Source organism: Homo sapiens, chromosome 13 (genome assembly GCF_000001405.40).
Source record: "Homo sapiens chromosome 13, GRCh38.p14 Primary Assembly".
Classification (NCBI taxonomy): Eukaryota; Metazoa; Chordata; class Mammalia; order Primates; family Hominidae; genus Homo; species Homo sapiens.
The window spans coordinates 67,370,909-67,386,599 of record NC_000013.11 but is presented as its reverse complement, the minus strand read 5'-3'; the positions used below and the strand labels follow the sequence as shown (position 1 = coordinate 67,386,599).

Sequence of the window (15,691 nt, the reverse complement as noted above, 5' to 3'; positions counted from 1 at the left end):
GTTAATTTTCTGCCTTGATGATCTGTCTACTACTGTCAGTGGGGTGTTGAAGTCTCCCACTATATTGTGTGAGAATTTCTAAGTCTCTTTGTAGGTCTCTAAGCATTTGCTTTATGAATCTTGGTACTACTGTGTTGGGTGTGTGTATGATTAGGGCAGTGAGGTCTTCTTGTTGAATTGAACCCTGTATCATTATATAATGCCCTTCTTTGTATTTTTTTTTTAAATTGTTGGTTTGAAGTCTGTTTGTCTGAAATTAGGACTGCAACAACCTCTGCTCTTATCTGTTTTTCATTTGCTTGACTGATTTATCTCCATTTCCTTATTTTGAGCCTATGGAGTGTAAATTAGTTCAGCCATTGGGAAAAGCAGCACAGTGATTCCTCAAATAACTTAAAACAGGATTACCACTCTACCAATTAATGTCATTATTGAGTATATACCCCCAAAAATATAAATCATTCTACCATAGAGACACATGTACTATTATGTTCATTGCATAACTGTTTACAATAGCAAAGATGTGGAATTAACCTAAATGACCATCAACAGTAGACTTGGATAAAGAAAATGTACATATTCACCATGGAATACTATGCAGCCATAAAAAAGAATGAGATCATGTCCTTTACAGCAACATGGATGGAGCTGGAGGCCATTATCCTAAGGAAACTAACACAGGAACAGAAAACCAAATACTACATGTTCTCACTTATAAGTGGGAGCTAAATAATGGGAACACACATGGACACATAGAGGAGAACAACAGACACTGGGGCCTATTAGAGGATGGAGATTGGGAGGAAGGAGAGGATCAGGAAAAATATCTACAGTACACTATGCTTATTACGTGTGTGATGAAATAATCTGTAAATCAAACTCCCAAGACACACAGTTTACCTATATAACAAATCCACACATGTACCCGTAAACCCACAATAAAAGTTTTAAAAAATTAAAAATAAATACATGACAAATATATCACTGCTTGAACATGAGTAGATGTCACTGTTCTTTGTGACATTATAATACAACTGATAGATCAAGATTTCTATCAACAAACTATTTGAGAACTACCTAAGAAAGGAATATGAGTTGTTTATATTTTAAAAAATCTTACATAGACACACACCAGTAAGACAAATGGAGTATGAGCAACAAACCTTGTAGAATCAGTGTCCATCTCATAGAAGAAAGTTTTGGAGACACAGCAGAGCAATATTTGAAGAAAATTATGTATCTTTAACTCTGTTGGTAGTTCAATAGAGAATATATTTTGGAAAAAAAACATAGACATTAGTAAAACCGAGAGGAACAGTGATTCAATCTCTTCATATAAAAAACTTTAAAAATACCTAAACTAATTTATTTCACTTATGTTTTTCATTCAGTTATTCACTATGGTGATGTATGCTTAAAAATAATCTCTCTCCATATATATATATATATATGTAAGCCTGACAGAACTCTTTCAAAGTATAAAATTAAAATTTTAAATTTTAGTAATGAATTAAAACAGTTTAATTTGCAGCATTTTCTTTTTTGAATTTGTAAAAAATCATACGTTTGATTTGCACCATCTTAAATGTAATGAACTAGGGAAACAAAACAGTAAAATTTAAAAAGTAGCCCATTCAGTAGGCTACTTTATTCAGTGATAAAATATCCAGGACCTTACTGAGTTCACTAACTTTTACCATTTATGCTTTTAGGTCATTTTATAGCTATCAAGAAAATATTAAATATTATGCCTATACTTTGTCTACTTATTTGATTGTATTTAGATAAAATGTATTGATCCCCCAACATAAGAAATAAGAGTATTAGAGAATTTGTCCTGCCTGTTGTAATTCCTTCCAAATTAGCCTCCAAATTTTTGTTTCTGTTCATTAGTTTGTCTTTCACCTGACTATATATATGTAAAACTCATCCTTGATGTGTTAATTATAGAAAGTATTTATTGAAACTCTATACATGATTCATGTCTCCTAGTGTCTCCTGATTTATGTTGAATATACTGTTCTTTTGCATTATTCAAGTTTATAGTATTCACATGCTTCAATTACAATTCAGTCTTTTTTTTTCTGTATGTTGATTGAACAAACTAAAAAGCAATATACAAGATTCACAATATCATGCTTAAGTTACTACTTTTTACTTCAAGTTCAAATTATATAATTGAACTCATAAAGAAAAAAACAAAATTATATCAGTAAGTATATGTGTCTTGATTGCTTAAAAGTTGCACTACATTTTTTGGCATAGATGGAATAAGGCTTTTTGAACAGCTTTTATTTTAGTTAGAGTTTTAGATTACTTTTTCACCTTATTTATAGAAAATATTTGATTTGTAGTCATCATAAAATTATAAATTTCCTTTAACTGTAATACAGCACACTTTTGGCAATATTGTTTTCAGACCTCTTATTTTCTGCCACCTTTTAACATTCCACATTTAAAAAACTTCTACTCCTGGGTTTGGTTTAATGTTGCTTTAATTCCAGAACTTCCTCCCCTTTTTGTTGTTTGCCTTTTAAAGTTTTTTTTTTTCAATATATGTATATCATCAAGTAATTTTTTCTTTAGGCATAGTCTGTGAAAGGTAGATTTTCTGAGTTTTTGTGTGTGTGTGCCTGAAATTGTCTTTATTTTTTTTTACCTTAAATCTAATTTGGTTTTTCCAAAGAGTATGACTGGTTTACTTAATACTCTTTCCCAGCTCCAGGTTTCCTTGTCAGCCTCTAATATAAAGCCTTAGGAGAGTGAAATTCGGTCTCAGTCCTCAATTCTCAGCTTCCTGACAGCTATGAATGGCTAAGAAACACAATCGCATCTGGTGAACCTAAGTGAAATTCTGCTAACAGAAGGACATATCAAGAAAAAAAATGTCTCCTAAAGACATGCAAATTAAAAAAAAAAACTCGGCTGATGTCATGTAAGCTGCCCTATGCAACCCCCTTAATCTCTTGTACATTAATTGTGAAACTGTCTGGAGCAGTTAAAGCCATCATGTGACCATGAGGCAACAAGAATGAGGACAGAAGCCAATACAAATAGAGCAAAGACTGAAACAAACAAACAGAAAACAGGTGGAAGCTGTGGCTCACGCCTGTAATCACAGCACTTCGGGAGGCTGAGGTGGGCAGAACCCGAGGTCAGGAGTTTGAGACCAGCCTGACCAACATGGTGAAATCTAAAATTTAGTCTCTACTGAAAATACAAAAATTAGCTGGGCATGGTGGTGCACGCCTGTAATCACAGCTACTCAGGTGGCTGAGGCAGGAGAATCGCTTGAACCTGGGAGACAGAGGTTGCAGTGAGCTGAGATCATGCCACTACACTCCAGCCTGGGCGACAGAGAGAGACTCCATCTCAAAAAAAAAAGAAAAAAGAAAAAAGAAAGGAATTAAACAGTGAGCCTGCATCTCTTTTAACATTATTCAGATGCTAAACTTCTATTTGCAAGTGGCTAAGCAGCAAATGTGCTGTCTAACTCTGACATAGCTGCTAGAGATTGGCTTGCCACACTCTCATGGATTTGGTCAGTAAAATGACAATGAGCCCAAATGGGTTTGGGCAGTTTGTAACTTACACAGATAACATAAGCAAGATCAGTGTCATGTTGGCTTCCTACATCCCACAGGATGTCTCTGAACCAGAGGGGCCAGATGGCAGAGGAGACCAAGAAGTTAGTAAGGGAGGTTTTCAGCTAAATGATGGATATGGTGGAATGTTCCATATCTGAATAGAAACAGGAAGGTATACGTAAAACATCTGTGTACAGCTCCTGGGAAGACTGCTCAGATCGCCATATTCCAGGAAGCAACACACAGTGTTCTGCCAAGAGATGGGGAAGCCTGTGGCTTAGCTGTGCCCATATGGCAGATGTGAAGACATGCATGATGGCTAAGGAGGCGCCATTTTCCAACAGGTATATGCTATGTGATAATAATAAAACTTTGTACATGTAAGCTTATCTTAGCCTGGTTACCTTTTATTTATTGCTAAACTCTCCCTGTGATTTTCATGAGTATAACATTTTAGATTCAAAAACATGATCCCTCTCAACTGTGAAGCTACTGCTCAATTGTCTTCCTAAATTCTTTCTGACTAAAGCTTCCTGATGACAATTTAACTCTCTTTCCATTTAGATGATGTGTGTTTTCTTTAAGAAAGATTTTAAGATCTTTCTCTGTGGATGGTCCTCTGAAATCCTTTTATGTTGTTGAATTTTTTCATTCAAACTGATTGGCACTGAATTGCCCTTTCAATTCAAACAACTCTATTTTAATTTTGCTTTTGAAAAGTTCTTCATGAATTTCTTTAATAATTTCCTTGCTTAATTCTTTCCGAAAATTTTATTGAATTCTTTAAAGTCATCGTAAAAACAATTAACTGTATCTCTTAATTTTCTCTCAACTTTTTCATCTAATTTTTTTCTTATATTCTGGAATATATACATGGGTCTGTCTTGCAAATAGCTAATTCAATCATCATATTCTTTTTTTTTTTTTTTTTTGAGACAGCGTCTCACTCTGTCACCCAGGCTGGAGTGCAATGTCGTGATCTCCGCTCACTGCAATCTCCCCCTCCTGGGTTCAAGCAATTTTCCTGCCTCAGCCTCCCGAGTAGCTGGGACTACAGGCACCTGCCACCACGCCCAGCTAATTTTTATATTTTTAATAGAGACGGGGTTTCACCATGTTGGCCAGGACAGTCTCGATCTCTTGACATCGTGATCCGCCCGCCTCGGCCTCCCAAAGAGATGGGATTACAGGCGTGAGCCACCGCGCCCGGCCCAATCATCATATTCTTAATTGATTTTAAGTTTTAATTTTAGCAATCATAATTTTAATTTACTCATATTACTCCTGTTCAATTCTTGATTTTTGAATATATTTAAGAATATCTCTAAGATCAGTAACTATAATTTTAAAATATGTATTTCTTTGAGTAAATGTTCTGTTTACTCACCTTAGGCTTTTTCTTTTTTGCTATTAGCTGTCTTCAAATGTCTTATAACTCATTGTTTATTTTTGAAATTTAGGTATAATCTTAGTTGTGTGAACCCAAATATCTTAGACAGGTCTCAGTTAATTTAGAAAGTTTGTTTTGCCAAGGTTGAGGACACGTGCCCATGATACAGCCTCAGGAAGTCCTGAGACCTGTGCCCAGGGTCGTCGGGGCACAGCTTGGTTTTATACATTTTAGAGAGTCATGAGACATCAATCAATATATGTAAGATGTGCATTGGCTCTGTCCATGAAGGCGGGACAACTTGAAACGGAGGGGGCCTCCAGGTCACAGGTAAGTGAGAGATAAACAGTAGCATTCTTTTGATTTTCTGATTAGCCTTTCCAAAGGAGGCAATTAGATACTTATTTATCTCAGCGAGCAGAGGAATGACTTTGAATAAATGGGAGACGGGTTTGCTCTAAGCAGTTCTCGGCTTGACTTTTCCCTTTAGCTTAATGATTTGGGGGCCTCAAGATTTACTTTCCTTTCACTTTCGCAATGCATTATTTTGTTGAATTTTCATTGTACTTTCTGGATGAATATGTACTAAACTGTAGGTTCAGTGCAAATGGAGAGAGCTTATTAACAGATAGGCTTCCTTTTGGGATTGTGAATTGGAAATAAGTAAACATGCTTTTGATCCACATAATTATTTCCTAAGTAATGATACTGTTTCTCCTGGTAGAGTATTTTAATAGTTTGTATGCCTTATAAAGTTATATACATCTATATTCTTTTGGATATTGGAAGTGTAGAGTCACCCAAGCTATGTTCTGCCTTTCTCTTCTCCAACATTAAAGATACAGACTTTTCCACTCTTTTCAGAAAGTTCTAGTCTATGTAACCTCCTGTATTCTAGTAAAAACTGGCTTACATAGCAGGTTTTTTTTTTTAAGAATACGGTAATATATATGTTTTAATATCTTTTTGAATCTTTTAATGTGACTTAGTGAAATGGAAGAGTTCCCTAATTCCCCTTGCACGTATGCCTGTTCTGTCACCCCGCTGCTCAAACCTCTTGCAGGAGGGGAAGCATGCAGATGGGCAGGTGCAGAGGCTGGGGCAAGCGCTCTGGCCTCCAGCCCCGTGGTAGTGTCTAGGGGTGGGTGCCTGCAACCCCAGTGTTACCAAGGTTTTTTTTTTTTTTGAGTTTTTTTTTTTTTTTTTTTTTGTGAGAAGGTGTCTCACTCTGTCACCCAGGCTGGAGTGCAGTGGCGTGATCTCGGCCCACTGCAACTTCTGCCTCCCTGGTTCAAGCAATTCTCCTGTGCCAGCCTCCCGAGTAGCTGGGATTGCACACCACCATGCCCAGCTAATTTCTGTATTTTTAGTAGAGACGGGGTTTCACCATGTTGGCCAGGCTGGTCTCGAACTCCTGACCTTGTGATCCACCCGCCTTGGCCTCCCAAAGTCCTGGGATTGCAGGAGTGAGCCACAATGCTCTTTCAGCTTTGCCGTCTGCAGATGGCTTGAGTGTTAATCAGCTCAATGAACTCTCTGCCTTTTCACAAGGGCAGAGGGCCAAGGTGATAGCTTTCTGTATCTGAGCTCTTGTCCAGTGTCTTGGAAAAATCAGGTCACACATGGACTCCAAGGATGAATGGCAGGTTTTATTGAGTGGTGGAGGTGGCTTTCAGCAGGATGGATGGGGAGGCAGAGGAAGGGGATGAAGTGGAAAGGTGATCCTCCCCTGGATTCTGGCTGCCCAGTGGCTGGACTCCTCTCTGACTGCCCCCAGCTGAACTCATTTTGGCATTCAGATGTTCCTCCTCTTCTCCCTTTCTCTGCCACATCGTTCTGCCATCCTTCTGCTGGTCTGCGGGCTTGCTGGTCTGCTTCTGGAGTCTGGGGTTCGGGATTCATATGGGTGCAGGATAGGGGGTGTGGCAGGCCAAAAGATAACTTTTGGAGCATGAACACAGAAATGCCTGTTTTCGTTTTCGTTTAAGACAGCAGGTATCCAGGCTTGAGGGTGAGGCTTTGCCAGGGAACTGCCCTTTTCTACCCAGTATTTCCGTCTCCTGTCCATATCACTAAGAGGAAGAGAACGCAAAGATTAAGGAAAGGCTAAGTCTGTCACCTTGAAAAGTAATCCTTATTCCCTTTAAAAATAAGAAAACTGAGGCTTAGAATGCATGGAGAATTTAAGTTATTGACTCAAGTCCCTTTTTGCACATTAGTACTCTATATTGTTCCTTTCATATAGGCATATATATTAAATGAATAGACATACACATTTAATGCTTAAAATAAGTAATAGTGTTTAGTTAAGTAACCATTAAATTAAGTAAACAGTAATAAAAGTAAAATCTGTGATGTTATATACAAGCAATCACATAATTAACGGCATTTGAGTAGCTTTTCCAAAAATACTAGGAAGACGGTATATGTGTATTTGTTTATATGCTGTTGAGGCAGTAATAAAACAAGCCTACAAGCTAAGGAATTTTATTTGCAGAAAATGAGGGATTTATAAAATGTGTCTATTATCTTATCATAATACTTGGCTGGCAACAACATAAATTGTATACTGTTAAATCCAATAATTAAACTTTAAGAATTGAATTTACGGATACATTTTCTTGTGAATAAAGATATATAAACAAAAATATTTCCTGTCAAAACATTTATAATAGCAAATTACTGTAAAAGACCTAAATGTCCATCATTACAAATCAGTTTAAATAAAGTATATTATCCAGTCTGGGTAACATTTTTATTTTATTCGACCAAAAGAGAAAAAAAATAATTAGCCAGTCATGGTGGCCTGTGCCTGTAGACTTAGCCACTCAGAAGGCTGAAGCAGGAGGATCCCCTGAGCCTGGGAGATTGAGGCTGCAGTGAGCTGTGATTACACACTGTGCTCTAGCCTGGGCAACAGGGTGAGACCTTGTCTCTCTCAATAATAATAATAAAGTATGCTATATTAATGTACTGGCATATTATGCAGTAATTCAGAATAATAGAATTATGTGTGCTTATATGGAAAGATCTTCAAGATACACATCGAGTGAAGAAAAAGCAAGGCCCACAACTGAGCATACCGTTACTTAATTTCTATAAGATATTTTAGGTACATATGCATATATGTTCAGAGACAATATTTTGAAAAGTAACTCTTAATAGTAGTTCTCTCTGGGAACAGAAGTAGGAGACCGATCATAATCTAAGGTCTAGTTCTCAGAGAGATCAAAGGCTAAGGTGCAGTGATATTCACAAAACAAAAACAGATAGTACCATTGCTATCTTTATAAAAAGATATAAAAAGATATAAAAAAATTATAAAAACAAAATACTGAGTACTTTCTATGTGAAAATTCTTATTGAAAGCTATATATATACACATATAATTTACTTTACTTCTAATTTGGATATACAGGTATTATTATCCCCTTTTACAGATGAGGTAAATGAAAATGAAAGAGATTGAGTTGTTTGCAAAAGATGATGCAATTGCAGTTGTTTTGTTTTGGTTTCCTGTGTAGCACTTAATACCATGCTAAACTAGTAGAGAGGGCTTTGGTGAGTGAGGATAAACAGAGATTCGATCCAACTATGGAATAAAATATTCTAATGTGTTGCATGGAAAAGCAATAATGCAAGCAATAATCTCTAATGTTGCTTGGGAAATATACCAAAATATTGTTTGATGTTCATCTAAAATACAAATTGTAGTAAACAATTTTCTATTATTATCTGAAATTCAAATTAAATAGATGGTTGATTGGTTGGTTCATTCCAAGTATAGGTATATATATATACCTGTATATATGTATACCTAAACCTGGTTGGAATGAAAGATGAACAGAATTACACGCACATATATATATGTGTGCGTGATCACGTGTTTCTGTGTGTGGGAGTGGGGGAGGGCATGCCCAAACATGAACATACATGTGCACACATTTGTATGCAAGCACATGCATGCTTTAGGTTGGGTAAACATTAATTCTACATATAATTAAACTGTATACACATATACACAGTACATATGGTCAAGCCTTATCAACCCTGCATTAGGGTTTTAAAGAAAGAAATTTTTATACAAAATTGTGTTACCTTAAACCACGGCATTCCTTCCTCTTCTAAACAACATTTAAAAACGAGGATATATGAAACATCTTCAGAAGAATGACCCTTTGTTTTGCAGTGAAAGAAAATCTTCAGGGTTACCAACCTTGTGCAAAATATCACAGGGTTTGTGAAATAAGAAAGTCAATATGTATTAGAAAAAGAGAAGAGACCCGTGTATAGAGTGAACAGGAAACCAGCGATGAGAAAAGCAGCAGGGGGTTACCTGTTGAGCCCTGTGACCTTTCCCTATTCCGATTACACTGAAGATAGTGTAAATCACACACACGAAAAATGTTTCTTTAATTCTTTAGTTTTCTATATACAGGTAATGATTTTTCTCTCCACTATTTTCTTTTTAACTTTAATAATTTTCCCCATTAAAGTTATTATACTTGTAAATTCAACTCAGTGTAACTTAAATAGGAGAAAATAATAAGTATCTTGAAGTTTTCCCTAATACTATTTATAAAACTTTCCAAAAATGGATAGTATCCTTCCGCTATCAAGTAATACTATATGCACCAAGGGAAATGAAACAGATCTTAGCGTGAGCCCTGCAGCCTATTAAACATTTAATAAGTAATAAGGATCCATCAAAATGTGGACTATTTTTTACATATTACAACTGCAGACAGTCGTTCTCCAATTTGAGTTATAGAAGTGAGGAGGAAAGCCATTGTGACAGAAGAATCAAATATAAAGTGACTAGAAATAGTTGATTGATTGTATTGTTCATTTTGTAATACAAACTTTCAAGGACTGAGTCATGAATACAGACAATTTTGTGCCATTATCAATGTACATGTGTCTCTGGCTTAATATCTCAAAATATTGAGATCCTATTTCTTTTCCAATGTCATCATAACTATTTTGATACATTCATTAGTCAAATCCCTGGATTGCAATTTGTCTTGTCTTGTGATATCAGGGAGTAACACCAATACAGGACATATTCAATATAATTTGGTAATTCAGCATGCCTTTCATATTCTGATTGTCAGGACTGGCTAATTTTACAAAGTCAAAGTAGTACATTTCAGTGATAGCTGTCAGGACTGGCTAATTTTACAAAGTCAAAGTAGTACATTTCAGTGATAGCAGGCTTAGAGTGTCTACTTCATGGAGAACATGTCACTTGTTTCTTCTTCATTCCCCTTCCAAATCTAGCCTATTCTCATAGCCTTCTGTGAATAAGACACATTTGTCACCATCCTCTACAGTTCAAATCAAGTGACCCTGGCATATTGCGATAGGTAGGCTGAATTCTAAAATGTACCCAAGTTTCCTGCCTCTGTTCTGCATACCCTGTATAATCCCTTCTCCTTGGGTGTTATAGAACCTATAAATACGATGGGATATCACTGCCATGATTATGTTATATTATGTGTCAAAGATAAAGGGGCTGCAAACTAATAACTGTGTGTTTTTGTAAATCACTAAGTAGGTGGTAATTTGTTATACAGCAATGACAAACTAATACAAGTGACTTCTAGGCCAACATCATTATAATATGAATTGAAGTTAGCTGATATTGTCTTCAAGAATCGGAAACACTGAATTCAGAATTACATTAATATCAGGTCCTAAACTAGTGTTGAAAACACAGTACATACTCAATAAGAGTTGTATATGTGACTGACTACATTGTTTTTCTTTTTTTTTTGAATTTTTTGTTTTGAGACAGAGTCTTGCTCTGTCACCCAGGCTGGAGTGCAATGGCGCGATCTCGCCTCACTGCAAGCTCCGCCTCCCAGGTTCACGCCATTCTCCTGCCTCAGCCTCCCAAATAGTTGGGACTACAGGCGCCCGCCACCACGCCCGGCTAATTTTTTGTATTTTAATAGAGACGGGGTTTCACCGTGTTGCCCAGGCTGGTCACGAACTCCTGAGCTCAGGCAATCTGTCTACCTCGACCTCCCAATACATTGTTAACTTATAATAAATAGTTACCACTGCAGATTACAATTCACTTTGAAATATATCTATTTTTAAAAATGATAAAATATTGTTAGGATTATTATTAAAATACACATTTTAGAAGGGAGAAACAAAATCCACAGAGAGGTTAAGGAAATTGAAGGCGGAACATTCACATAAGCATCCCTCTTTGCAGGTTAATAAAAAGAAAGTTGAAAATGTAGAATTTTGAGATTTTAAAGCATTTATAACCTGTTATTGCCTCCTGTCTTTATAGCTTTATATATATTAAAATAATACAATTAAATTTGTATTGTAAATGTAATTTATTTTACAAATAGTTTTCACACACTTAAAAAAGCAGTATTACAGGCATTTTTTGTCTTTTTAAACAGTTTAATTACTTGTTAAGTAGAGCATTTAAGTTTTTTTTAATAAGTTCTTGATCATGCCTCAGTATTCTTCTATCTACCTTGAAGAAAAGAGTATAGAAACTAAGGTCCATCTAACGTGATAATAAAAAGCATGACTCTAATTTATCTATCATTTTTAGAATTTCAAAAGCAATCAAAATCACTCTGGCATATTAAGCAAAGGAATGGGTGATATTTTTTAAAAAATCTTTACCTTTTTGAAAGTAGTACAAAATGCATCTTTTCATTAAGTATTGGAAAGAAAGCCATTTGGCAAATAGCTCTTTCAGACTAGCTCATTGAAATAAATTTCTCCTTGAGAATAAAAAAGAAAAATCATCATTTTTATACCACTTAAAATATTAAAATAACCTCTCAAAAACATATTTTTTAACCTTTAAATAGATTGTGATTTGACAATATATTTCCAAAATTTACTTTTCATTTTTCAAATTTGCACAGACATTTTTGGGCTTAGTAATTACTTTTAATATTTCCAAAAGGATTTACTTCAATTGTTTGCCCAGAATAACTCCAATGGATCTTGAATAGGACTTCCTGACAGATACACTTAAATATAAAACATCTTGCAAAATGATTGACAGATTCTCGTACACACACTAGAGCTAGAAAAAGTAGATGTCATTTTCTGGGGCTGCAAAGAGAGATGAGTTTAAAACAACTAGTACTAAATTTAACTAGTAATTTTCTTTATAGTCATATAAAATTAATGGTAGATATATTCATTTATAAATCATCATCTTCATTGTATTCTATCTAGAGGAAAAAATAAAATTAAGCTTTAGCTATTAATGGATGTTTATTTTTTGTCACCATATCTTGGGAGAACATGTGGAAAATTCTCACTTTTACAGGCATTTGGATTTGTCTCTTTTCAGTAACTCTGTTCAAAACATAAAATATTTGAAAAAAATAAGAAAAAAGAAATCCTTGCTTATTTGCTGTACTTTCACAATTTCCACTAATCTTAAATCCTAATAGTGTTTATCTCATACACAAATATAACAAAATGACTCATCCACCCTTACTGATATTAAACTCGCACAAGATGCCTTTACATGAGTTTTCACACAAAACAGAAGCCATTATTCCTTCTGTGATGAACCGATCTTCAAACACAAGGGAGTCGCAATTTTTATCTGTCTATATTTTCCTGTAAAGTAACGTAACCGGAATGTAAAATCAATCATATCAATAAACAGAAGGAGGGAAATAAAGACACATATGCAAAGTAGAAAGTTTCAATTTTCAGAAAAGGTTTGGAGTTAAACAGATGATGAAGAAACTGTGTACCTTCTATGCCTCCAGGGAAAAGAAAAGCTACGTGTATTCAGTGTGCCTTGAAAATAGTGCATTTGACTGTGCATCTAGAGTGACAATATAGAATTTCAACATTTTATACCTGACATTAACAAGTATAAGTGATTGTGATTCTATACACATAGACATACATGAATAATTAGGAAGACAGCAGTAAAACAATACTTGTAACATTTTGTTAGGTGGCATTTTAAATGTGAAAACTCCACCACTTAGATGAAGATTTTCCATGAATAAGATTCTAGAAACTAAAAAAAAAAAAAAAAAAAAAAAAAAAGTCTACTGTTACTCTAGCAAGCACAAACATACTGTAAAGAAGCTGCAAATGGATAATGTGGAGAGGGTAATGAGACTTAAGTATAAAACTAAGATCAATTATATAAAAACTGAGAAATTTTCTACAACAATTAGCAGATCATTTTTACTTGACAAAATGTTACTTTTCCCCCAAGAAAATGTCTTTTTCTCAGAGAGAAATTCAATTAGAGGCTTAGCATTCCCACTGTCTAAGTAGCAGTCATATATACCTTGTCTCTGCCACAGTGCTTGATATTATCTATAAGTGAGTGACAGAAAAGTCCAGGACTAACAAAGGCTCACTCTGTTCCTGTCAGGAAGCTCCAGTGTATCTTTCTTATTAGAAGTACCCAGGAGTTTTCTCTGCAGAAGTAGAGTCCTAGAGTAGGTAATAGCTTTATCTTGTTTTTAACCATTTGTATTCCTGAATCGAAACAGATCTCTCCCTTTATCATGGAAATGCATGCCCCCTTTAGACCCAAAACCAGCAACTTAATTTACACTGAGGAGACACAAAACATAATGGCTCTCTTTCCCCACCCTCTTCTCTCTTAAGTTATCCAGAGGGCAATTCTCAAAGTACAGAAAAAATTAACTATGATGCCAAATTTCAGTTTCAAGGAAACTTCTGTGTTTTGTTATGCAAAGGGAAGACTTGGGAAAGTGTATATAATTTTAGTTTTTGGACAAAAGGAGAAAAAAAGGTCTTTGTTCAAAGAAGTTCAAGTTTAAACTTGCTTGTCATCAGCCATCATAAATGTATTACTTCTTGGAATCAAATAATTGCCATTATAACAATAATGGGATTATAAGGTTAAATAAGTTTACAAGAAAAATAAAAAACATTCAGTCTGTATCAGTTGTTAACTTATTATTAATTCTAACATTGTGATCAGGGATTACTATTGTGTGAAAAAATGTAGCGCAGAATATAAAGAACAAGAAATATCCAAGGGCAAAAATAGCTGATTCAGTCATTAATGTGGATAATCAAGGAATGTCAACGAAGTTGAAGTTTTGGCAGAAAAGTACAAAGACTTAAAGTGAGTGTCAGGTTGTTCAAATACTAACCTTTGATTCTGTGATTAGGAATGAGAATTAGGTCACAGTTCCCGTGGCAGGGAGGGGGGAAAATCACTTCTTGGCTTTGCCCTGAAAAGGTGATTATTTAATCAAGAATGACATTGGATTTATTTGCTTTTTGTGGTACATTAAGAGCTTACATCGAGATTAGATGGCGTATCTTTTCTTTTGAAGACAGACTGAAAAAGAAATGGGAATTATTTTCTTAAAAAGGACTGCCAGAAAACCCTATATGTGTTGACAAAGCCATATTATTTTATTTAGTAATTTATTTGATCAAATTTGGTAAACAAAAAGCAACATTTTATTGAGTCTTTCTTATCCCAAGAACTCTTTATCCACTTGCTCTTGGTTTTGTTTTTCTGTTGTTCATATGAAATTCCAATTTATATTTATTTGACAGCATTGTGCATTACTGCAAAATGCCACACATACACTTACACACACACACAAACACACACAAACACACTTTCTCTTTCACACACACCTATGCTCAGAAATAGTCTCTCTTGAAGGAGCTGAATTCTTTCTCCTCATTCTATTTTATGAAGAGTAACACTACGAGGAACTGATAAAGATAGCAAGGATGGCCATAATAGTTCCCTCAGCTTGACTAAACATTAGATAAGCTTCTTCCTGAACCTAGGTCCTGTTCTCCATTTTTAAGGGCATTTAATGTTAGAAAACTTGGAATTGAAAATTCATTTTCCCCTTTGAGATGTAAGTAAAAAAAAAAAAAAAAGCCTCTCACAGGATTTACAACCCAGGGATGTCTTTCTCAAAGACCTGGGAGCCATCCCTTTGAAATATATTCATCAAGGAAGAAAGAGGCTGGGCGCTGTGGCTCAAGCCTGTAATCCCAGCACTTTGGGAGGCCGAGGCAGGCGGATCATGAGGCCAGGAGATCGAGACCATCCTGGCTAACGCAGTGAAACCCGTCTCTACTAAAAATACAAAAACGAAATTAGCCGGGCGTGGTGGCGGGCGCCTGTAGTCCCAGCTACTCAGGAGGCTGAGACAGAAGAATGGCGTGAACCCGGGAGGCGGAGCTTGCAGTGAGCCGAGATCGCGCCACTGCACTCCAGCCTGGGTGACAGAGCGAGACTCCGTCTCAAAAAAAAAAAAAAAAAAGAAAAGAAAACAAAGAAAAAAAAGGAAGAAAGCGCTCCCATCTCCCAGTTTCTGTGAGCGAGCAGAAGCTTAACGTCAGTAAGTGGCCTTGCTTTAAGTTGTAAAATTACCTCCCCTCACGAAGATAGGAGAAAGCTTGCTTTTTCTTTAGGTAAGGCCAATTAGCAAAAATAGTTGTCCTAAAATTCCTCCTCCATTCCAGCTCTTAAAACCTTTCCCACATTTGTTTTGGTGGGGTTTTCTGTCTCTCTCCCCTATTGCAATGGGAAAATAAAGAATAAAGCCTGCCTAATTTAGGCTAGGCCAATGTTTACTTTGACAGAGCCAAATTTATGATGTTATGGATTTTTCTTTGTGTGATGTGGGATGATATTGCAATTTTTTGTTCAAATTTTCAGTCGGTAACCTCTTTCTGAGAA

The 15,691-nt window shown here is 35.6% G+C and overlaps 1 long non-coding RNA gene across 1 annotated transcript; it reads right to left on the bottom strand.

Annotated features, from left to right (window-relative positions):
- Positions 1 to 6,605: 6,605 nt before the first annotated feature.
- On the bottom strand, positions 6,606 to 14,213 carry LINC00364 (long intergenic non-protein coding RNA 364). Its single transcript, NR_130792.1, has 3 exons — positions 14,130 to 14,213; positions 11,635 to 11,735; positions 6,606 to 7,049 (listed from the first exon to the last, which is right to left on the bottom strand). It is a non-coding gene; the product is annotated as a long intergenic non-protein coding RNA 364 (long non-coding RNA).
- Positions 14,214 to 15,691: the final 1,478 nt, after the last annotated feature.